Source organism: Homo sapiens, chromosome 4 (assembly GCF_000001405.40).
Source record: "Homo sapiens chromosome 4, GRCh38.p14 Primary Assembly".
NCBI lineage: Eukaryota > Metazoa > Chordata > Mammalia > Primates > Hominidae > Homo > Homo sapiens.
In genome coordinates this window covers 15,388,230-15,413,428 of record NC_000004.12, presented here as the reverse complement: position 1 = coordinate 15,413,428, position 25,199 = coordinate 15,388,230, and the positions used below count along the sequence as shown (strand labels likewise).

Below are 25,199 nucleotides of genomic sequence, written 5' to 3'. Positions count from 1 at the left end.
AAGTGGTTGGGTTTATTCCCCTCGATTATCTCCGGGTCAAAGGAGTGTTATCCATTTCTTACACAACCATTTATTTAGTGCCTACTAGGTGCCTGGCCTCTACTCAGAGCTAGTGCAATAGCAGTCAGCAACAGACAAGGTCCTTACCTTCTGAAGAGATGACAATAAAAACATAGATAGGTAACCACGGAAATAGGTGGTAGAAGCACATGATGTGAACACAGAGGATGGCTATGGAGGTTGTGTGCAGGAGACTGCCTCTGTAACTATCAATCCTCGATGCTTGATGTCTTTAAAATATGCTGTTCATTTTGATCAAATTTGGTGTTGGTTATCTTGCTACAGTGGACACTAACTGGGCTTTGAAGTCAGAGCCACCTGGGTGGTGCAACTCCCAAGAGAATTCTATAACGGATCTGAACCTCAGTTTTCTCATCTCTGTTTTGCAGACAAGACTGCACACTGCCAGTGCTGGTGTGACAGTGAAATGGGTTAGGTGAACAGTCTGTGGAACGTATTAGGGGCTCAAAAACTGAGAGGGATTGATTCATGTTCTTTTTATGTGATCTCTGTCTCCTATTGCTCACTCGTTGAGATTGCTGGAATTCTAACAGTTTTGCCTTCTGTAAAAATCTCCAGAAAAGTAGTTACGCAGATGCACTTGTGTCTTTTCAAGTTGTCTTTTAGTGTAATTTACTTTCCAGGTGTGGTGAGCTGCGCAATAGCCTCCCAGAGATGTCTAGTTCTCATCCCAAGCACCTGTGAGTGTGTTTACCATACGTGGTGAGACGGGCTTTGCAGATGTGATTAAATGAAGAGTCTTGAGGTGGGCTGGTTATCCTGGATCATCTAAGTGGGCCCTGTGCTGTAATCACAACAGTCCTTTTAAGAGGGAGGCAGAAGTTTAGAATTATAGAGAGAAGGTGATGTGTGGATGGAAGGAGAGGGAAACAATGAGAGAAGATGCTACACTGATGGTTTTGAAGATGGAGGAAGAAGCCCTGTGCCAGAAAATGTGGGAAGCCTAGAACAGTTCTCCCCGAACGTTTTGGCACCAGGGACTGGTTTCATGGAAGACAATTTTCCCACAGACTGGTGGGGGTGGGGGTGGGAGATGGTTTAGGATGATTCAAAAGTGCATTACATTTATTGTGCACTTTGTTTCTATTATTATTATACTGTAATGTATAGTGAAATAATTATACAACTCATGATAAGGTAGAATCAGTGGGAGCCCTGAACTTATTTTCCTGCTACTAGACCATCCCCTCTGGGGTGATCAGAGCCAGGACAGATCATCGGGCATTAGATGCTCATAAGGAGTGTGCAACCTAGATCCCTCTCATACACAGTTCACAATGGGGTTTGCGCTCCTGTGAGAATATAATGTTGTTGCTGATCTGACAGGTGGTGAAGCTCAGGTGGTAATGTGAGTGATGGGGAGCAGCTGTAAATACAGATGAAGCTTCACTGACTCGCCTGCCACTCACCTCCTGCTGTGCTACCCCATTCCTAATGGGCCTTGCACCAGTACCGGTGCGTGGTTCAGGGACTGGGGACTCCTGCTCTAGAAGATAGAAAAGGCAAGGAAACAGCTTTTCCCCCAGAGCATCCAAGAGGAATGTAGCCCTGGAAGCCCACCTGAGACTTCTGACTTTCAGAACCATAAGATGGTAACTGCTCCACCAGGTTTGTGATAATTTGTTATAGCCGTTATAGAAAATTACTATACCAGGGGAAGCCAGGAGACCCTGCCAGGGCTGTAGGCAACAAAAAGAATAGGGGTGTCCGGGTTGGTTTAGACAGTGATTTCTGAAGCCAGCATACCTGGGTTTGAAGCCCAGCTCCACCTCCTACTAACCACTTTCACATTGGGTGGGCAGAGCACATTGAGACCATGGGCTGTCAGACTCCATAGCTCACTGTCTCCTCTAGGAATGCAGGCTGACTAGGCTGCCAGAGACCCTCCTGGTGATTCTGCACAATGGTGTGTTTTAAAGAGATCCAACAGCATCTCTCTAGGTTCATAGTTTCTGATCATGGCTGTGCATGTGCACAGTGGTTTTTTTTTAATATTTCATAATGAAAAGCATGAATAGTGAAAATAAGTCTTCCTTGCACATTCATCTTTCATCTCGTTTGTCTTTCCTGTGAAAATCATTGTCATCTTCAGAAAATGATGTTCTCTTTATGCCTCAGTGTGCCTTCCAGAAAATGGGAAAAAGTTAGTATATGTTTAGGATATTTAAGAACACTGGCACATTGTAAGTGCTCAATAAATGTAAATGGTTATTAATATAATAAGTTCTTATTGGAATGAATTTGCTGACTCCTTGCAATAATGGAAGTTAGTATGCACGTACATTTCCACAGTGAGAGTCTCTTTCAGTAGGGGGCCAGTGGCAGTTTCTTTTCCTTCCTGTTCGCGTGTGAAACAGGAAATGCAATTTGGATGACAGGCACTGCTGCTTTTCAAAACTCTGTTTTGTTTCTGGGTTGTAACTCGAAATTGATGTTGATATTGTAGCAGCCAAATAAAGTGGTGCCCTTTGACCTTGTTGCAATTCTGTATGTCTCTGGTAGATTACAGGCTGCCTTCGTGCTGCTTTGCAAAAGATTTGTTCCCCTAATAGTTCTGAAAACCAGAGAGAAAGCATATTCACGTGAAATCCTGGTGATTTTTCTAAGTTCACCTAGTTAGTTTAATACCATAATCTAATGTAATTTCATATCTCTAAAACTGAAGGCTAGCCAATTGTGTGAATCTAGCCTAAGAAATAATTATGAATTCAATAAAAATGTTCACATACAAAGATGTTTATTGCAGCACTGTGAAAACCAGAAAAAATTGGAATAAACCAAAATGTCATGTAATAGTAGAGTTGTTAAATATATTGTGGGTTAGTCACTTAGTGGAATATTATGCAGTTAGTTGAAAAGGTAGTTATAATGCCTTTTCCATCATAAGGAAAATATTCACAATATACTGTTAAGAGAAACATTGAGAGTCAAAATTGTGTTCAATATGATTATAATGCTTGTAATGATAAAGCTCACACGTTAACAGCCTGGCAGAAAATATACCAAAATGCTGGTATCCATTGTGAAAGTGGTGGAATTATGAACTGTTTTTTTCCTACTTTCTATTTCCCATATATTTAGTAACATAATTATTTACATCTCTAAGAAAAAAAATTAAATGCAAACATAAAGCAATAAGCCAAAGCTCCAAAATAGTGTGGAAGATGTCTAAGAAAATTATGACTGCACACATTTATAATTCTAAATTAAAATGCCTCAGGAGTTCTAGTTTCCTGGATTAGTGCTAACGGCAGGAAGGCTGGGGTGAGAAATTTTGGCCATTAGCACTTCATGGGGTATGTAGAAACTGTTTTAGCACATACACTTTCTGGCTTTAAGTCAACTGACTTGGTTTTATGAGACAAAGAAGAGTTTTGCTTTCCCAGATAATTCAATTGTGATCATTTCAATAACCTTCATTCCAGCACAAGGACAATGGAGAAAAAAAGAGTCATCATATTTATGATTTACTGAAGGTTCCCTATGTGCCAAACTGTGTGTGGAATGCTTTATATGTATTGTCCTATTTCAGCCTAACAACTCTGGTAAGTGGGTCCTATTATACAGATTTCATAGATGAGATGCTCACTAAAGTGAGCACACCAAGCCCAGGGTGTCTCATTGGGTGGGCAGAGCACGTTCAGACCCTGGGCCGTCGGACTCCACAATTCACTGTCTCCTCCAGGAGCTCAGCCTGACTAGACTGCCCGAGACCCTCCTGGTGATTCTGCACAATGCTCTGTTTTTAAGAGATCCAACAGCATCTCACTAGATTCATAGGTTCTGACCATGGCTATGCATGTACACAATGGTTTTTAAAAATTTCATAATGAAAAGCATGAATAGTGAAAATAAGTCTTTCTTCCACATTCATCTTTCATCCCCAGTTTGTCTTTCCTGAGAAAACCATTGTAAATAAGGAGCACTAAATAAATACAGATAGATACAGAGGCCCATTCGCAAGCTGCAATCACTTAGAGTCTTGGAGGCCTTGAAAATCTCGATTTTTAACAAGCTTCCCAGATAATTTGGATGAAGGGCCTGAGGCTGAGGACCATCACTACCATGATACAGTGATGTCCAGTTGAATAAAAATAATAGCAATTTCACCCTTTTTATGTCAATAATATTTCAGCTGCATGCAGCCTTTTAAAAAGATAGATGTTTGATAAAGCAAGTTAATTTTTCTTGGTTTTACAAAAATCTAAAAATTTTAGAGAGTGGTTATTTTAGTTGGAGATGTTTTTGAGCAGAAGTGGAATTGAAAATTGATCTGAAAATCCCATCTGTCCTTGGGTGTCAACTGGGATACTGGAAGGAACGTTGGACTTGCTGAGACTGGGGGTCTTAGTCAGCTCAGGATGCCCTACCAAGATACTGCTATAAACTGGTGGCTTAAATAACAGACATTTATTTCCCACAGTTCTGGAGGCTGGGAATTCTAAGATCAAGGTACTGGCTGGGGTTAGGGCTTCAACACATGAATTTTGGTGGTGGGAGGTGGACACACACATTCAGTTCATAAAACAGGGAGTCCGTAACACAGGGCTTCTAATCCTCTCCACCAATGAGCAGCTGAGTGCTATTGGGAAAGTTACTCCTGTTTTCAGACTATGAGATAGTCTGATTGGACCAGTTCAGGTATATCCAAAGTGCTCTCCAGAGGAGCTTAGAGCCTTCTTTGGGGCTGAGATGGAGGGAGTGTTAACACCACAGCTGACAGCTTTCTAAGTCAATAGTTTAGCCCCTTCCCACCGTCATCATTCCACCAAAGCAGCTTCTTCTTATCTGTACATACATACTTATCCATATATACATACATACATACATTCTTATCTGTATATATATACATATATACTTATCTGTATCTGTATATACATACATACATTCTTTTTCTTAAGAGACAAATATTTAATGTTGTAAAAGACTTAAACAACATGATTTGCAAACTTGACCTTATTGAGTTATTTGAACACTGTATACATACATACATATATACTTATCTGTATCTGTATATATATACATACTTATCTGTATATACATACAAACTTTTTTTTTTTTTTTTTTTTTTTGAGACAGAGTCTTACTCACTCTGTTGCCCAGGCTGGAGTGCAGTGACGCAATTACGGCTCACTGCAACCTCCACCCCTGGGTTCAAGTGATTCTTCTGCCTCAGCCTCCCGAGTAGCTGGGACTACAGGCGTGCGCCACCATGCTTGGCTAATTTTGTTTTTTGTAATTTTAGTAGAGATGGGATTTCACCATATTGGCCAGGCTGCTCTCGAACTCCTGACCTCATGATCCGCCTGCCTCGGCCTCCCAAAGTGCTGGGATTACAGGCGTGAGCCACCAAGCCCGGCCTACTTTCTTATCTGTATATACGCACATATATACATTCTTTGTTTTGTTTTGTTTTGTTTTTGAGACAGAGTTTCGCTCTTGTCACCCAGGCTGGAGCGACCTCTGCCTTCTGGGCTCACTGCAACCTCCGCCTTCTGGGTTCAAGCGATTCTCTTGCCTTAGCCTCCTGAATAGCTGGATTACAGGTACCCACCACCACACCCGGCTAACATGTATATATATAACATGAAGGAGCTGCTCTTCTGGAATGACTGTATAAAATATTAATTAAGTCCAGGCTGTGCGGATTCCACCAGTTTTTGTTTGTTTGCTTTTTGTTTTTTTTACTAATGCTCTTTGTCTTTCCCAGGATCCAATTCAGTAGACCACATTGCATTTTGTGACTTATTTGATTTCACCACTGATTAAGATTTTAGCCAAAGCAATGGTTCTAGAATGACAGTGAAAGGAAATGTGTGATATCCACTGGATGAGCCTCTGGCCAGGTGTCCTCCACTTGATTAGGCTTGCGGCTAACATCAGTGCAGGTAAACAAGCCAGGTCTTTGGAGTTAGGCAGAGCTGGTCTAAATTTTACTCTCTGGAGGATATTAGACAAGTCTCTGAGCCTCCCTGAATTTCAGGATTCTCATTTCTAAAATGAGAGAATAATAACTACTTTGCAAGTTCTGTGGATGAAGTGAATTTGGCACAGAATACAACTTTAAATGGCATTTTTGGTATGGTGGCTATTTCCTAGGTCCATAGGGTGCTATTGACCTCAAGTTAAGGGCTGTCTGGGCTGTACCACCAATGGGGCTGTACCATTGGTGTTACCCGCCTGACACACTTTTTCCATGCCCAGGAGAGACTCTTAAACATTTACATGTGCTTGAAAATAATTAAGAGCCGCTTGGTCTCCTGCTCCAAGGAATGACACTCTGATATCTAGTGTTTTAATCATACTGTTGAGATGGGATTTAAAACATGAACTTGAATCAGTTGTTCCAAAATGGGAAAATATTACACAATTAATACATGTTAATCATAGAAAAATTAGAGTAGATGAATAAACAAAAGGAAGAAAATAGAAATCAGCTGTAATCAGACCACCCAGCAATAACCCTGTTATCATTTTGGGATCTGCATCTGGAAAGATACATATTCTTTCCCTGTCTCTTTCCCCCTTTAAAGATTTAATAAAATTGAACTATCAATTTTGTGTATCCTATTATCTCTTACTATATATGATCAATTTTTAAATAGTAAAATATAATTCTACAGAGTAATTTTTAAATTACAGTATATGGATGTGTTAAAATTGTCTTCACTAATTCCCTATTGTTGGATGGTATGGTTGTTTTTAATTTTTGTTTTTGCCAGTAACATTGTAATAGGCATCCCTCTAGTGAACTCTTTGTGCATCATTTTCCAATTAGGAAGTTTGACGCTGGCAGCATACTCAGCCCCCACCCTGTTTTCCTCTTACTTCCCTTTACAGAGTCCCTTGTGTTGTTTGTGTATGCGTGTCTTCCTAGGTGGACCATAAACTCCTTTGAGAGCAGCGAGCACACATAGTTCATCTTCATTTTTCCTCTCTAATACGTAGCACTATGGGGTGTCCTCAGTGTGCTTCTACCCTTAGCCTGTTATCCCAAATTTGCATCCCCATTACTGGTTCTGCTTGGATATTTGATGTCTGGCTTCTTAGCTCTGGTCTATACTCTCACTCATTCAACAGAGAGCTATTGAATATGTATTAGGTGCAAAGTGTGGATCCTGGCGGGGAAACTGTGGCAAATAAGACAGAAAAATGTCCTGCCTTTAGGGATTGGTGTTGTAGAGTAGAAGGCAGACATCAAGCCAGCAAGCAAATGCAGTGATTATTCCAACAGCGTAAGTGCTGCAAAGACCAGAAAGCAGTTAAGAGAATGGTAAATCTTGGAGAAGGGGTGGGTAGCTAGTTTAGGTTTAAGGAGTGGGTCAGAGGTGTCTTTGAGGAGGCAGCCTTTGAGTAGAGATCTAAATGATGCAAAGTTGTGACCAGTGAGTCTGGGGGGGACAAGCTCTTCCTACAGAGACTAACAGCTGAAAGGCACTGCAGCAGGGCAATCACCACAGGAAGGAGAGTGAGATGGCAGAGGACAGAGCAAGTGGGGGTATCAGAGGTGAAGCCAGAGGGGTTGGACACAGGCTGGGTTATGCAGGGTCTTGAAAGCTCTGTGGAGGAGTTTTTTTATTTGAAGGTCAATAGGAAGGTCTTGAAGGAAGCCGGAGAGGGACATGACCTCATTTCCATTTTTAAGAGATCACTTTGCTCAAATTTGATCTTCAACTATATTATCCAGGTTATAAACACTCAGCAGGGAGAGTGATAATTCTTTAGCTGGTATTGGCTAGGAGGAAGCAACAAGGTTTTGTGAACTTAAGTTCTCTGAGCCTTTCAGGTCTCATTCTGTGGCAGATACTGTTAATAAATTGATGCCCATTTCCACCTCTGCCTCTGCTACCAGAGTGCCGATTCTACTGGGTGGCAATATATGCCCACCTATATCCTCACTTCCCAGTTGCCTTTGTGGGAGGGCTTGGGAGGCATCTGACAGGAGTCTTGCTGATAAGGCATGAGCAGGCACCTTATGGGAAATTCTGAAAAGGCTTTTGCTTTCCTGATGAAAGGACACAGATCCAATCAGCACATCCCTGTGTCCTACTCTGCTTGCCTCTGACACAGATGCAATGTCAAGTGTAGAGCCCGCCTGCTGTCATTCGACACAAGTGCGAGGATGAAAGACAACATGTTCAGGATGAAACAGTGGAACGAGGGAAACAGCTTCATTCCCTAATGTCTTTAATGAGCAGCTGAACCAGTGCCAGGGACCCCCTGACTTCCTGTTATAGGAAGAAATAAAATTTTTTACTAGTTTAAGCCATGGTTGTGTGTATTTTCTGTTGCATGCAACTAAAGCATTCCTAACTGATACACTTAGGATTGAGAAAAAGTGGGAACTGACTCTGTTATTAATTCCATGGAATATTATGCAAATCATTGAAGTTCTGAATATCTCAATGTACATTAAAATTGAAGCAATTACTGAACCCAACTTATGAATTGTTTGTTTTGGAATAAGGGCTCGTGATCACAGATGCTTTGGGGATGTGTTGTTAAATTGCCACTTAATATAAGAATGAGTTCTGTTGTGCTGTGCAGACATTCCTTACTCGGGAAGTGATTGGTCTTGCTTTCTCTCTCAGACTGTTTGGTTCCCATGCCCTTGGTCCCCATTAAGAATAAAATGACAACCCTACCGCAGTCAACCTGCTCTGACTATGCCGCTGTAAAGTCACAAATGCTTAGCCAAGATCAGAGAATATACTAAGTGATCCTAGTCATTGACTCATGCAAATACTTTTGAGTTTGACCCTTTTCCTGTTCCACAGTGAAATTACTGAGGTGGATCTTTCTGGAAGTCTCTCTGAAGTATAAGTTATAATACTAGCATAAAAAACACTTGCTGTATTCTAAATACTTTATAAGTGTTAACTCTAATCATCATTTAACCTTCACCATGATTTAAAGACTAGAGATTATTTTCCTGGTGAAAATCAGGACTGAGAAGGATTAAGTGATTTTCCTAAAGTCATAGAGCTAAGCAAGAAGAACTAGTACTCAGATATATCTGGTTCCAAAACTGCTTGTGTCTTCAGGGATCCTTAGGCCCCATGTATTGTGAGAAACTCTCTTCTAGCAAGCACTCGCTGCTTCCATGAATGGCATAGAAGGAGCAGCTCATGGTTTTGGTCTTTTTAAAAATATATATAAAAACATCTATATCTATATGGATATTTATTTTAGCCAGCTTGTTATATAACAAAAAATGGGAAACAATTTAAATGTCAAGTTAAAGAAACTACTTAAATAAACTAAGGTGAATCCATTTGACTAAATGCCTAAAATAGATTCATTGTAAAGAGCTGCAAAACAATAAGTACATTATTAGTACATGATATATTTGTATATGCATAGAAAAGTACTCTAGGAGGATACTGAACTAAAATATATCGATAGTAGTATTTTTATGAATGTTAAAAATAGAGGACATTTTTGTTTTTAAAATTTAGGTATTTTATATCATTTCATAATACAGAAAAAAACCTGTTTGAACAAAACATAAAGAATACAACTATTTTATTGGAGTTGGGCAATTCTTGGAGCACAGCTATATTGCAAGCAGTTTTAGTTGTTACACCATTCAGAAATCACACCATTTGTAGTGGGCTGAATAGTAGCCCCCTCAAAGACGTGTCTACCCCAAACCTGTGAATGCAAACTTAATTTGAAATAGGGTTTATGTAGATGTAATTAAGGATCTTGAGATGAGATCATCCTGGATTAGGGTGCACCCTAAATCCAATGTATCCTGAGAAAAGAAGGGGAAAAGAGACAGAAAAGAAGGTGAGGTGATGACAGAGGCAGACATGGGAATGTTGTGCCTACGATCCCAGAAACCCCAAGGATTGCCTGTAGCCACCAGAAGCCAGGAGAGAGGCAGAGGATGAATGACCTTGCAGAGCCTCCAGAAGGAACAAACCCTGTCAAAGCCTTGATTTTGGATTTTTGATCTCCAGACCTGCAAGAGAATAAATTTCTGATGTAAACCACCCAGGTTGTGGTAATTTGCTAAAGCAGTCCTGGGAAACTAATACAGCATTACTAGAGTAAGAGGATGAGACAGAATGAGACCAACATTGGACATCCAAAATGAATAACACAGAGCAAAATTGATTGCTGACTCCAAGAGGGAAGGGCTGCGCTGCCTGGGCACATTCTTCTGAGCAGAGCCGACTGCTGGGCTTGCATAGTATTTTGGGGAAGCATGGGACTCAGAGACAGGCAGATTTTCAGGCACCTAAGTAGCTGACATGATCTGTAGAGAGTGATTATTTGGGGGAGATTGTGGTGATTTTGTGAAAATGTATCTGCTTATCATAAAAATTTCAAGGAATTTTATTAAAAAAAAAAAAAACAGAAAAAAGCAAAGCAAAACAAACTTTCACCTCTCAGAAATCATTTTGCCAACATTTGATGAACATCATTCCAGATTCTCTGAGGCACAGGTTTAGCCAGAAGCCTTGCTGGATATAATTTTACAAAAATAAGTTCATACTACGCATGCTATTTTTATAAAAAATGATTGAATGTGAGGTTACTTGAATGTATCAGAATAAAAATAAACTAGAATCCAACTGAAGGAATTGCTGAACTTCAGATATTTCTAAGGTTAGATGACAACTATGAAAAACAATTCCAGAATTTAGTGTCATTTTGCTTTTTAAAACTTTGTATGTTTTAACTTTATACAATATTTATTTATCTTCTGCCATGAAAGAGGAGGGTTTTATTTATTTCATTTTTCCCTTCCACCCCTAGCCTCCCAATTTTTTTCAGTTACATTATTATTTTTGGATTGCCTGGAATTATAACATTTATATTCTTTTCTGTCAAATAATTCCCACTGTTGCTTAGTCTTGATTCGGTTTTGTAAAAGATCTAATACTTGCTCATGTCCTTATTTGGTGGATTCTCCATTGCTGGGTGTTTAATTTTGATTCATGTCTTGCTATGCTAGATTTCATCATCAAATACTTTTCAAGAAGGGCTTTGTTAATACAGTCCTTGAATTCTTACATGTTTAGGAATGCCTGCCTGTTTCTTTTATAGTTATAGCATAGCTTGGCTGAGTGAAAGAAAAAAACCTCTTGGGTCACCTTGTCCCCTTAGAACTTGGTAGAGGTTGCTCTGCTATTTTCTGGTGTTGAGGATTGTGGTGGAGACTAAAGTAACCTGCCAGGCTCCGCTTGTGATATCTGTTCTCTAAACAACACATACAAGACATTTTTCCTTGAATTTTCACAGTCCATATCTTGATGTTACCAATCTTGCTTATTTTTCCTGGGATATGGTGTTCCCTTTACATTTAGAGAAAGCTTTTTTAAACTCAAAAAGCTTTCTTGAATTGACTTTAAGTTTTTTCCTGTTCCTTTTTTTCTGTTCAAAATACCAATTTGGGTATGTCAGCCTCCCTTTTGCTTCAGTTTGTGTTGTCTTGTCTGTAATCATTTTTATCACACTGTTTCTTTCTTTCTCATTTCGTGTGGTATCTGAAGCTTTCCTGTGCTTTCAATAGCATTTATCTGTTTTCTGTTGACTTTGAAGTTGACTTTCATGTCTATAATTGTTTTATTTCATTGATTTCCTGAGCTCTGCTACTTTTTAACTGGTCTTCATCTTATTTCTTTTCTGATCATTTCTATTTCGTTTTTAAACTTTCTTTTCTGAGAAACTACGATGTTGATTCATTTAAGACTGAAGAGAACTGATCTCTGTGTTCTCTGGTGGTGGATCATTTATGATGTATGTAATTTTGTATCTGCCTTCTGTTTTTGATTTTTCTACTTGTTTCCCCCCTCTTGCAATACCCATGCTGGGACCTTTGCCTGGCTTTGGTACTGGTGTCATTCAAATGTGATGAGATGCCTCCAGCTATTTGGCCAACAACAGTGCAGAGGGGGCTTGCAGCATTCAGTTAACCAGGCCCCAGTAGGTTTGTGGTTTCTGTTCTTCCTACTCAGCTGGCCTTGATGAAACATCCCCCTCAGGTTTTGGTGTCCGGGAGGCCAGTGTGGCTCAGGTTGAAGCACTTAAAGATGCAGATTTTGTTGTGGCTGCAAGGTCGCTCCTCCCCACACGCTCCTCATTCCTTTCCACCCCAGACATGGTCTCCTCATCAGAGACTATCCCTACACAACAAAAATGATATGTTTTCCCAGTTCCTCCTCATTTATTTGCCACTCCCTTCCCCCTCGCTATTGTGCAACATGGAAATAGCTCTCTAAAGGAACTATTCTGACTTCTTCTATGTGTGGTATGCAGCACTGGGGTGCGCCCGCTAGTATTTCCGGTTCTGCCCTCCTCTAAGACACTTGGCAGGATCACCCTTCCTCGTCTCTAAAATTAGGCCTGGCTAGAAGAATTGTGTGGGCAGAAAACATGAATTACCTACATGTCCCCTTTCCCCTCCATGGTGAAATCTGAAGCCTTATGCTGTGATGGGGGTATCGGGAAATGGTGATGGTGGCTGGGTCCTGAGGGCCCACAATGAACAAAGACCCTGATTGCTCCATAGTGAGCATGTAACATAAAGGCTTTTGTATTTATGCATCAGTACATAAACCTTTTTGCTGTTTGAAGCCACTGAGATTTGGGATTTGTTGGTTAGTGCTGCCTAACTTAGCCTCTTTGATTAATACAGGGCAAGAAAAGCCAATAATTTCTATAACAAACATTAGGAAGCCTGGGAATTGAGAAGGTCATGAGGTCTGGCTGGAAGGTATGGATCAGAGCAGACCGTTCATCATCCAGCCAGGACACTGACCAGCTTCAATGGTCTCCTTGAATGTTGGAGGGAAAATATTGTACAATTTCCAAAGTTAGGGTTTCTTGTTGCAGACGGTTTCAGATTTCTTGTGTTCACCAGAAAACAAAACAATGGAACTTAATCCTTTTCTGTTTCTCTCCACTCCCTTTCATACAAATGTGTCTTCTTGTGCATCAAATTTAATGCTGTTGACAGCATTATTTACTGCCACTGAACATACTTGGCTGATTTATGACAGATTACACTGATCATCTATATCCCTCAAAGAGCCGTGGGAGCTGCTGCCTTTAGATCTTTTTGCAATATACAGACTGTAAATGTTTTCTTTTTTCTTTTTTCAGTCAAGTTGTTTATTCTCTCAACAATTAAAATATGTGTGTACAATCCAAGACATTTTTGAAGAATAAAACCTTGCATCTCTGAATTCCTGTGGGGCCTAGCAACAATGGACGATATCTTAGTTGCAGTGTCATTTCCCTAAAATCTAGCTTGTGTGTTACAATCACATTGATGTATCTTCCCCAGAACCAGAGAAGCCAGGCTTAAATCTCTGTCCTGGCATTCACTAATGTCATGGCCTCAGAAAAATTGGATAGACTTTCTGAACTTGTTTTCTGACCCATAAAAATGTGATAATGGCAGTAGTCTTTTTAATCCCACAGGAATATTGGGAAGAACAGATGATTTCATATATGGGAAAGGCCCTGGAGCAATGCCTGGCTTCAAGTGGGCACTCAGTATATACTACTTGAAAGCACCTTCCAAATTTTGCAAGTGGCATCTCAGTTCATTCATTCACTTACTTAATACCTATATACCCAGCATGCTGTGGGAAAGTTGGACTTATAGTTATATAAGACATAGGTAAGGAGGTGATAGTCAAATTAAGCTAACAGTTAAAATGAAGTGTTTTATGAAATTAGCTACATATCACAGGAGCTAATGTTTGAGGGCTTACTATGTGTTCAAACATTGGGCTAAGTCTTTAAATGGGTCATCACATTTATTCCATGCAAAAACACTACGTACATGATTATTATTATCCCCATTCTAACTGGAGGAAATCAAGGCTTAGAGATACGAAGAACCTGGCCAAGTCACAGATCATCGATTGAAATGGGTCCTGTAGTCAGTATGACTTGGGGTGCATGTTCTTAACTACTATCTGCGGAGCCTACAGAGATATTCAGAGCTGCTGGAAGTGTTACAGTAGGTGGCTCATCAGGCATTGGCAGAACAGGAGAGGGCTTCCTCCCCAACACACCCACCCACTAGGAATGTCAGGTGACCATCAGCTGATGGTCAGAAAGTTAACTGTCTCTCTAAAATAATAATTGGTTGCAGTCGGCACCAGGGAAGGGCAGTTTCCCAATAGATAGAAAACACCTGAAACTGGTGATCAGCAGGTTCCTGATAAGATCTCAGGAGTTGGGAGAGTGGTCTCAAGCATGTGCATTAAGAGGCAAAATGGCAGCATTTAACTGGTACATGACCTTCCTCTAGGAATGCTAGACTGGTGGGGGAAGAACACCTCAGGTGAGCATGCATACAACTCCAGTAAACACACTGCGCATGCTCACCTCCCAACCACTAACAGGCCACTGTGCATACGGACAGCCCATCCCAAGGGAAGAATCAGGGGAGAGGCAATGCGAGATCCCAGAAGCACACCAGCTTATAAAGCCCCAAGTCAAAAGGTGGAGTCATGCACTTGATTTCTCACGTTGCCTGCTTGGCCTTCTTCCAAGTATACTTTACTTCCTTTCATTCCTGCTCTAATGCTTTTTAATAAACTTTCACTCCTGCTGTAAAACTTGCCTCAGTCTCTCCTTCTGCTTTATGCCCCTCAGTTGAATTCTTTCTTCTGAGCAGGCAAGAATTGAGGTTGCTGCAGACCCTACAGATTTGCCACAGGTAACAGAAGCAGACTGCTGCCTCAGGGGAATGTTCACAAAAGGCACTTCTGTGAAAGGGATGCCTGAGCTCAGCTTTGAGATTTGAGTAGGGCTTGTCTACTCAGACAGAGGAGTCCTGAGCCTAGACCCAGGTAGTCCCAGAAGAGATATGCTGAAGTGTTCACTGTGGAACAGAAAGTCTGTGAAGGTAGATATTGGAGGACAAGGCTTGTACAGTAGCTGGGAATCCAGTCAAGATGCTTAGCTGTAAATAAAGGGACTTGGACATCAATGGGGCAGGGAGGGGGGGTGGTCAATAATGGATATTAAGCATGAGTCTGATATAATTAGCTTTGCCTTTAGTGTTTGGAAAATGGTTTCTAGCTATGATTCATTAGATCTCTTGGTAACCCCAGGTGCTTTTAAAATTTCCAGTTGGGTGTGGAAGAATAAAATTGCTGTCATCGCTATGGCCTATAAGCTCCTTTTGACCTAGGGCCATATTTCAGTCATGATTACATTGCTGGAGCCAAACACAGCAACTGACGCATGACTGGCACTGAAGAAATTGTTGGCTGAGTGAATGAAAAAAATGAATGAAAAACTAGATTAATGGTAGTAAAGTTGGGAAAAGAAGCAAGAAAGACTGAAATTGTGGCTGCGTTCCTTTGTGGGTCTGGTTTAGGAAGGACTCTACAGGAGGAGGGGAGGTGAGAGTGGTGGGCCTTAATTCCACTGGGTGCTCTTGCAGGTTCAAAATCAGTTGGGATGATTTGGGGATTCTTGGAAGTAGAACTGTGTAGTCGCCAGCATCTGCTGAGAGATTTTAATTTGATTTGTTAATGAATCTCCCTGGGTGGGGCTTTGGTAGGTGGTCTGTTGGGGATCCTATGACTAATTTAGGATCTACAGTGGAGCTGAGTGCATAGAATGTTGCTCTTTTTTATTTCTCAGAAAGCACATTCATAAGTGAAGCCTTAAGAACTCTTGGGAATGCTCACAGCCTAGAGAGAGTTGTGGTCTTCTTGTCTTTGAGACTTTAAGTCCCTTGAAGATAAGGGCCATGACTTACTATCTTCAAGCCCAGTGTGACACGGAGCTGTAAGCTCAGGCCTGTAACCACTATCCAGGTGCCTCTAGAGATAGCCAGAGGTGCAGAGGCACACTCCTGCCTCAGATTTTATGCTCACAAAGCATATTTTAGAGGAAGAGTTGTCTGAGCTCACTCCTGAATTTGAGTAGGGGATGACCACTCAGACAGAGGAGCCCTGAGCTTAGGCCCAGGAGGTTGCAGAGCAGGCGAGTAGCTATAGAGTCCACTGTGGGAGAACAGTCTCCGAGAGGTCTTAGGGGATCAGAAACTGCTGTTGCCCTGCTCCAGGGCTCTCAATCCACCTCTGAGCTCACTTGAAGCTGCAGTGGGAAGTTTCCATCTGATATGGTTTGGCTGTGTCCCCACCCAAATCTCATCTTGGATTGTACTCCCATAATTCCCATGTGTTGTGGGAGGGACCCGGTGGAATCACGGGGGCGGTTTCCCTCATATCGTTCTCATGGTAGTGAACAAGTCTTACAAGATCTGGTGGTTTATCAGGGTTTTCTGCTTTTGCATCTTCCTCATTCTCCTTTGCCTGCTGCCATCCATGTAAGACGGGACTTGCTCCTCCTTGCCTTCTGCCATGATTGTGAAGCTTCCCCAGGCACGTAGAACTGTATTAAACCTTTCTCTTTTGTAAATTGCCCAGTCTCAGGTATGTGTTTATTAGCAGCGTGAAAACAGACTAATATGCCATCACACTGACAGCCACCCCCTGAGTTGCCTGTGTCCCTTTCTCTGGAACTACAGGAAAGTTTATTCAGTGTGTGGGCTGCCAAGAAGGGCTGGTGATGGAAAGCCACCCAGGAAACCCTCAGTCAGTGAAGACACAGCCTCTCCTCTGCTGATGGGACAATTCTGAGGGGTGTTCTGAGGAACTCTCAGGGTCCTCAGAGGGACTGAGCATCAGTTGCCCACAGTGCCAACCACTCAATAACACACCTTTTTTTTAGCTTTATTATCCTTTTTCTGTCCCTACTCCCTGCTTTATGCATATAAATAATGTGCCCCCTAAGTCTTTGTCTTAGGGTTTTTGGAAACTAAAATATGATATGCTGCTTGGTGCTCAATAAATAATTGCTGAATACATGAGATCTGCTCAGCTGCCCCCAGATCATGATTAACACTGGAAGCGCTGAGAAAAGATAGTGCACAATTGTACTACTTCGCCTGACCTCCAGATGGAGCTCTCCTGCTCTGCTAGATACATTTTATGGTCCTCTGTGTCAGTGCTGTCTGCCCCCTGCCCCTCCCATTTGAAGGCACAGCCAGAGCCTCTCAATCTCAATCATCTCCAACCTGATGGAGGTTGGCTCAGGCCCACCTTGGTGGGAATTTGGAGCAGTGAGGCCCAGGATGCGGTACAAGTGGCTGAATCTTCACATTCGGGTGCTGTCAGGCTGCAGCCCTCATCCATTGCTGGTGCCCTGGTCAAGTTGGAATGACATCCTCCCTGAGGTCCTTGTGAAGGTCTCAGCCACATCCACTTACTTGTTTGGAAGCTTTACTTGGAATTTTGCAGCTTTGCTCTGACCTGAAACTCCCACTGCTTAGAGCCCTCTTCATTGCCCCCCACTTACTAAAACTGATTTCTTTGGAGATTAGCATCTGCCCAGGTTCAAGCCCAGATTTCAGAGAAATTAGACTTTAAAGTTAAAACAGTGTCTTTGGAGTCAAAAAGACTGAGGTTTAACGTCTACTTCCACCACTGACTGGCCAGATGACCATAGGGGCAGGATACTTACCCCTCCCAGCTTCATTTTTCTCATCCGTAAAATGGTGATACTAATATGTGTTTCAAAGGGTTTGATTGTTAGAGACAATATATCTAAGGTGCCCTGTATTTTCTCAGCACAGAGTAGGTCTTACAATTTTCTGCTGTTTTTTCGGTGTCATTTGAACAATGGACCCTCCCTCGGCCCTGCCTTTCTCTATTTTCTCACTATCCCCCAGCTCCCAGCCCATCATGCCTCCTGGTAGAGAATGTCTGAGTTACGAGTCTGAGTATACTGGCCTCTTTTAACTGGGTTGTGGTTGTAACAGCTTTGTTTTCTTAGAGTCTGTGTCTATTTGGCATCCATTCATCACAGGGCCAGTTGTATTAACTATCTTTTCTTGTTTTCTGTGTTCCTGATGCTCTGGCATTTGACTGGGGAGAGACTGCACCTCCCAGGCATAGCCAGTTCTTACAGAAAGCAAGGGGGCTTGCCCAAGAGCACTCTTTTTTTAAATGCAAAAACACCAATCCAGAGTCCACGCCCCCCACCATCTCTTTTATGGAATTCTTACACATGGAGCCAATATTCCCTCTTCCCTAAATCACCCCAGGGCCAGGCACCAGACAACTAGGGACAGTCCCTATGCTCCAAAGCCATCAGACTTATTCCAAGTAGCCAGTCCTAAGCTGTTTATCCTGCCCTGTCTTGCTTTTCCCATGGAAAACACAGTGAAGGCTCTGGCCCAGGCTCTCTCTTCTCTCCCTTCTGCCCCCTGACCAGCCAGGCTCTTTCCCATGTGGCCCTGTGTGGCATGGTGTGCCCCCTCCTCTTGGGAAATATAAGTTATAAAACTTCTCTTTCAATGGCATTAGTCTGTTTGTGTTGTCACTGAATCACCTCCATAAATTAAAATCCCACAGGTACATTTTAAGACAGTCCTACTCAAGTTCTTTTGGGAAACAGTTGAGGTGTTCAAATTGTCTTTAATAATGAGAATCCCCTTGGGTGCCGATATCTATCCTAAGGCACTTGGGGATGCCTTAGGTAAAAAAGTACCAGGGCCAGGCCTTATGGTTCAAGACCTTCTGATACCCACCATCATCTCTCCTGTGATCCCCAAAATGTGAAGAGTAGAGAGTCTAGTTCCATCGGAATCCAACACATGTTTGTAATTTTTGAAAATTATAAAAAATATGTTTGTCGTAAAACCAAAAATGATATAGAATTACACAAAGTAAAATGTGGGAGTCCCCACACACAGATCCCTTCCTTTGAACCCAATTCCTCAAGGATTCCCACTGTTCAAACTTTTGTGTGTGCATTCTTCCACCTTTTTGAGACTCTGCACAAACATGTACACATATGAGGATGAATTTGTTTTTGAAATGGAATCCAAACATACCTATTTTCTGCAACATGCTCTTTTCACTAAACAATATGTGGTGAATACCTTTCTCTGCCTAGCATTCTGCAGTATGAGCTGATTGTAAGTTATCTGGGCATTCCCCTACTGGGCACATTTTGGTTGTCTTGGATTTAGCCACTGTTTCTTGAGAGCTCACTCTCCATGTAGAAGGCTGGCAAAGCCTATACAATCTGCCCTTGGGTTTCACCCCAACTTCAGCTCCTCTTATCATCCCTTGCACCTCTGCCCCAACCACATTTACCTTACGTACTTTCCTCAAGTGTTCCAAACATGCTCCCACTTCAGGGCCTTTGCATGGGACTTTCCTTCAGCCTGGAATGTTTACACTTTAGACCTTCACAGGCTCATTCTCTCACTCATCTCCTTCAGGGTTCTGCTCAAACTTCATGTATCTGTGAGCCTTTCCCTTCCCTGCTATATGAAATAGAGCCCTCCTGCCTTGGCCCTACACACCCCCTCTGCCCTTACTTCCCCCTTAATGCAGTCACTATACGATGTAGGAAATGGTTACTGGTTTCTTATCTGTCTATCCTCATTAGAAAGGAAGGCTTGTGTGGGAACAGAGTTTCTGTCTGGTTCACTGCTGTGTCTCTTGTATCCAGAAAGGGCCCAGCACATAGTAGGCCTCAACAAACATGTGAATGAGTGAGTAGCCCTGTCTTGGTGCTAGTGCTCTCATGGCGTCTAGTTGTCACAACTACCCTGTGGAAGAGGTGGGTTTGCCTTATTTTAAAGTTGAGGAAACAGGCTTAGAGAGGTGAACTCCCTTACCCCAGGTCACACAGCAAGGAAGCTACCTGGATTAGTGATGATCAAATCCATTGGTCCTCAGAATTTCCAGGGAAGCCTGTTAAAGGCAAAGATGCCCAAGCCCTACTTCACATTTCCAGAATAAAGATCTTTGGGTGTTGGGCTCGAGAGTCTGCGTTTTAATGTGATCCCAGATGATTCTGAGAAAGGGCAGGGTTGAGAACCTTTGGCTTCTAGTGTGATTAAGCTTTCCTGGGGGCCTCCTTCTAAGATTTAGCAGCCTGGGGCCTGTAGGTTCTTACCACAGTGGAAGAGTCCTGCAGAATGGCCTGCAGAAGAGTGTGGGACCCACGTTGTTTCCAGCTAGAGGGAAACTAGTCTGTTTTCATGCTGCTGATAAGACATACCTGAAACTGGGTAATTTATAAAGAAAAAGAGGCTTAATGGACTCACATTTCCACATGGCTAGGGAGGCCTCACAATCATGGTGGAAGGCAAAAGGCATGTCTTACATGGCGGCAGACAAGACAGAAAAGAGGGCCAAGCGAAAGAGATTTCCCCTTATAAAACCATCAGATCTCATGAGATTTATTCACTACCATAAGAACAGTATGGGGGGAACCACCCCCATGATTCAGTTATGTCCCACCAGGTCCCTTCCACAACACGTGGAAATTTTGGGAGCTACAATTCAAGATGAGATTTGGGTGGGGACACAGTCAAATTATATCAGAGTGTGTCTCCCAGACCAGCTCAGGGTCTCTGTTCCTGGGCTTTTATTGCAGTCATGATGGTGATTTTCTTGTTGGAGGATAGCAAACTCCCAGGTGGCATTCACCTGTTTTCCCGGTTACTCTCACCTGTACATTTTCATTTCACTCAAATGTCTTTTGAAAATCCCATGTTGCCCCTTTCTATATCATAATTATTGGTGTTTTTTGCTAGGTGAGGGAGAAAGGAAATAGGCCCACAGGGAGGCAAAACAGACTCACACGGAATGCCTGGCCCAAATGCCACCCACATCACACCCTCTGCTCCTTCTGCCGGTGCCTGAGAGATGCTTGGCATCATTCCACGCAAAGAGAAGTGAGGAAGTTGGGCTGTACCAGGTCCTCCCTGGAGAGGCTGAGCTGGGGCCCAGGCAGATGTGAATGTGCCTCAGGGCTTCTTGGAATGTGGAAGGCAGGGCTAGTGTCTTTGGGTGAGGGCTGCTTCCCTGCACAGGTGCCTGTGATGGGGCTGAAGGGGCACCGGGCTTGGGGTGAGAGGTTTGGTTCACACACTGGCAGTTAACACTCCATTGTGTGTGTACCTTGGTTCTGCGAGGACGCTGTATCCACTGAGAAGGCTGTGGTGGAAAATGAATGAGGTGATTTAAGTAAGCGCCCCCTAGATATATACACAGGTGTGAATCATGGATCTGATGAATGTGCAAGCCCAGTCTTCTGGCAAGAAATGGAGTCTCTTTTCTCGATACCTGGATGAATGGAGGGTTTAGGAATTCAGACAGAAGAGCATTTAAATTCAGCTTGGTGTCTATGGCACATTCCTAAAATGTTCAGTTCTTTTTGTCCTGGCTAAAACATTCTCTAACAAATTCATTCTAATTAATATCCCTCAGTCCACAGCTTAAGTTAAACTTTCAGCTGGCTAACTATTGCTGAAACTAAATCCAGGCTGAGGACCTGGGCACTCAGGAATGCTTTCCCCACTCCCTTCCTCTCTCTCTCTCACTGCCTGTCTGTATTCATAAGACCCACGTTGTAATGCCAAATTGAAAGAACATGGGTTTTGGACCTGTGTTCAAATTTCCCCTTCTTAACTGCCCAAATAGTGGTGCTTCTTCCTGCTTGTTGTCCCTTTTCCTCCTTTTCCTTCTCATCACAAACTGAAGTCCCACCCCATTGATAAAGCTTTCATCATACCTTATCTGTATGCAATGTTTATTATTTATAAGGCATAATTGTATATGTTATCTCCTTTGATTTTTAATAATACATATTGTTGCTGGGAGACACAAACACGTTAATAACAAGTGTTGTTTTTACTCCCCCTTTGGAGATAGGGCACTGGGACTCGCATTAGGGCAGGATGCCCAGTGGAATTCTCAGATCTGTGCTGGTTTGCATTGGTCACTGGGGCTTGAGGGGTGATGACCCAAAAAAGGGCACTGACTTTTGTTGTTTACCCAACACTCAATTCCCTCTTTGGAAATAGCCTCTTAATTTTCCTTTGGAGACCTTTTCTTCTCCTTCTCTCAAAACGTACAGTTCAGGTGGGGTCTCCCCACCCATGCTCCAGCATCTTCAGGATATTCCGTGGCTCAAGTTAGAGTGATTAATTCATGGGAGGGCAGGTGACTTAAGTGAGTCCACTGAGACTGGACTGTAGGAGTCTACTCAACCCTGGGAGTCCAGGAGTCTTCTCTACTGGGATTGCTGAGCTACTAGGGTGTAGACCTGGAGTTGCTGGTGATACTGTCTCTCGTTACAACATACATACAACAGTCATACCACCTCAGAGACAAGCAGAACTGAGAGATGTGGAGACAGAGTTCAGACCGTATGCTTAGAGCACCTGGATTCAACACAACATGAAGTCAGAAGATCTACCCCCAGACTTTAATTATGTGCATTCAAAAGCACCCTTCCCCATTTTCTTGCTTTGAGGCATTTTGAGTTGGGTGTTCCATTGCTTTCAATTGAAAGAGTGCTAACCGATGGAGTCCCCAGATAGACTGTCTCTTTGGGAGAGTGGGAGGTGGCAGGAACTATGGCTAATTATTTTTTTTTCTGTTTTCATGAGCAAGCTGGCACTGATTAGGTGCCCATCGTCAATTCATTAACCATGAATTCAGTGGAAGATTAGAACGTTATTGGGAGTTTTGATCTATTACTTTAAAAGTTCTTGCACATTGGACTAATAATTCCTTTCCTGAGTGTTCAGGGAAGTCTGGAATAAATTTTCTTTGGGGTTCTTCCCAGCTTGCTTTATTTTCCACTGAGACCAGCTGTAATTCACATGGATTTGCACTGGAGAAAGTTGTATTTTATTTTTAGTATTGTTTGTTCAGATTCTTTACTAAGATTTCTTACCACCTAATCTTGAAGATCTGATCTTTCTGAAATGCAAGGTGGACCATCTCGCTTTTCTTCCTTAATGTTTCATGGGCTCCTCCTCTGCTCACAAAAGGAACTCCCAGCCATAGATCTGTAGGTTTTAGGAAATACACTGATTTCATGGTCAGTTTTTTGCATTAACTTGGCTAGGCTTCAGTCCCTAGTTATTCATCAAACACTCTGGGTTTTGCTGTAAAGACATTTTGTAGATGTGGTTAAATTCAATAATCTGTTGATGGTAAGTAAAGTTTTCCTAGATAATTTAGGTGCCTCAATTCAATCAGTCGAAAGGATTGAAGAGCAGAGCTGTGGCTTTCCTGTGGACCGAAGCATCAGCTCCTTCCTTAGTGTTCCAGCCTACCCTTCCTGGAGGACTCCCCTACAGATTTTAGACTTGTAGCCAGCCCCTACATCTGCATAATCCGAATCCCTGCAATATGCCTCTTAATATATATTTCCTACTCATCTGTTTCTCTGGTTGAATAGTCTTGTATACAGCGGACAAATTCCTCCCTTCCCTGAAATTATAGGCATAATGGTTGTGTAGGATTATGTGGGAGTAGAAGAGAGTCCATAATCTTCATAATATCAAAGGACCTCTCTCACATCACAGACTAATAACCCTGATTTGTGGGATTAATGAAGAAGTCTTTAACACGATGCACAGTTCTCCATAACCTGCCCTGCTGACGGTGTGAGCCTCATTTCCTGCCCCCTGACCTACTCACATTTTATAATCCAGTGTTACCAATGCACCTGTGCCTCTCAAGACAGTTTATGAAAATCTCTAGGGGATCAAGGAAGGCACCCTAGAGATTTCTGGGTGCTCCACACAAGACTTCTCATTTTGGGCTGGGTGAGGTGGCTCACACCTGTAATCCGAGCACTTTGGGAGGCCGAGGTAGGTGGATCACGTGAGGTCAGGAGTTTGAGACCAGCCTGACCAACATGGTGAAACCCTGTCTCTACTAAAAATACAAAATTAGCCGGGTGTGGTGGTGTGCACCTGTAATCCCAGCTACTTGGGAAGCTGAGGCAGGAGAATCGCTTGAACCTGGGAGACGGAGGTTGAAGTGAGACGTGATGGCACCGTTGTACTCCAGCTTGGGCAACAAGAGCAAAATTCCATCTAAAAAAATAAAAAGACTCCTCATTTTCCTACCTCCAATCATCATGCACAGGAGTGAAGAGAAGCCACAGACCTGTCATGGTTTGTGTAGACCCCAACTCACTCCTGCCTCCCACTTACAGCCTCACCAGCATGCCCTGCCTTTAGGCCACTGGGGGCTCTCATCACACCCTTCTCCCCAGTTCATGCTCTTCAAAACTCCCCTGGTCACTGTTCATCCTGTGGACTTTCATCTCCTATGGCTACTTCCTGGCTTATCTCCAACCCCTTCCTGATTTCAGAAGGCCATCCCTACTGCCCCTTAAAACTCAAGGCCGCTCATCAGCAAAGTCCCCTGTATCCTCACCATCCCTCTGAATGTCCTTTACCTTCTTGTCCTGACTGAAGCTTTGCTCTCCCCTGAGGACACCTCCTCTCCTGCACCCCACCAGGTGGAGGCTGTTTTCAACCCTTCATTCCTCATTTCACTGAGCCTGGAGGTGATATGGGTGACCTCCCTGCTCCTCCTTGCTCTTTCCAGACCATCCATCCTCCAGAGGTGAATCTCATGTCCTCTGTCTACACCACTCACTAGTCCTCCTGGATGATGCCATCTACTAATTATACCACCTTCCTCATTTCTTGGAGATTTCAGCTCCTGATCCCCTGTCACTTTCTCCAACATTACTGTCATAACTCTCAGTGATTTCAGTGTCTACTTGGAAGACTCATCACATATCCTGGTCTCACAGTTCCTGAACCTTTTTTCTTCCAACGGTCTTGTCTTCCTCTCCACCACAGCCTCTTACCTACATGATCATATCATTGACCTTGTCATTACCAATAACTACAGCACCTTCACAAATTCAAATTCAAGCTCCCCACTGTCCTGCCACCATTTCTATCCTTTCTGTTCATGTGTATCCCAAATCCCATGACTCCTTGACTTCACTTGCACACTGTACCTTTAATTTGTACCTTATTCATGTTCACCTCTGTCCTTACTCTGCTTAGAGTCTAATTGCTCTCTGAACACATACTTGACTCCTTGGCCCCTCTTTATGTTGTAACTTATTTGGCTAATCCACCATTCTGGCTGGATGGACGGGAGGAAAACACACAAGCATGTCGACTGCTCTCCATCTCAACATATGATGGTTCACCTCAAAATAGTCCTTAATTAATGTTGCATATCAATGATACTACATTCTCATATTTCTTTACATCCAAC

The 25,199-nt window shown here is 42.6% G+C and overlaps 1 protein-coding gene and 1 long non-coding RNA gene across 5 annotated transcripts in view, besides 2 other annotated features; one reads left to right on the top strand and one right to left on the bottom strand.

The window, feature by feature from the left end:
- C1QTNF7-AS1 (C1QTNF7 antisense RNA 1) overlaps nucleotides 1-25,199 on the top strand; it is a 422,973-nt gene that overhangs the window by 14,486 nt on the left and 383,288 nt on the right. The window lies entirely within an intron of this gene.
- C1QTNF7 (C1q and TNF related 7) overlaps nucleotides 1-25,199 on the bottom strand; it is a 106,382-nt gene that overhangs the window by 32,739 nt on the left and 48,444 nt on the right. The gene's annotated exons all lie outside the window — the stretch shown is intronic.
- Nucleotides 12,020-12,079: an enhancer, noted in NCBI's record as "active region_21339". NCBI's record gives its function as "activates an Ori minimal core promoter by ATAC-STARR-seq in GM12878 lymphoblastoid cells {active_cell/tissue: GM12878}" and the evidence as "EXISTENCE:reporter gene assay evidence [ECO:0000049][PMID:35858748]".
- Nucleotides 12,210-12,329: an enhancer, noted in NCBI's record as "active region_21338". NCBI's record gives its function as "activates an Ori minimal core promoter by ATAC-STARR-seq in GM12878 lymphoblastoid cells {active_cell/tissue: GM12878}" and the evidence as "EXISTENCE:reporter gene assay evidence [ECO:0000049][PMID:35858748]".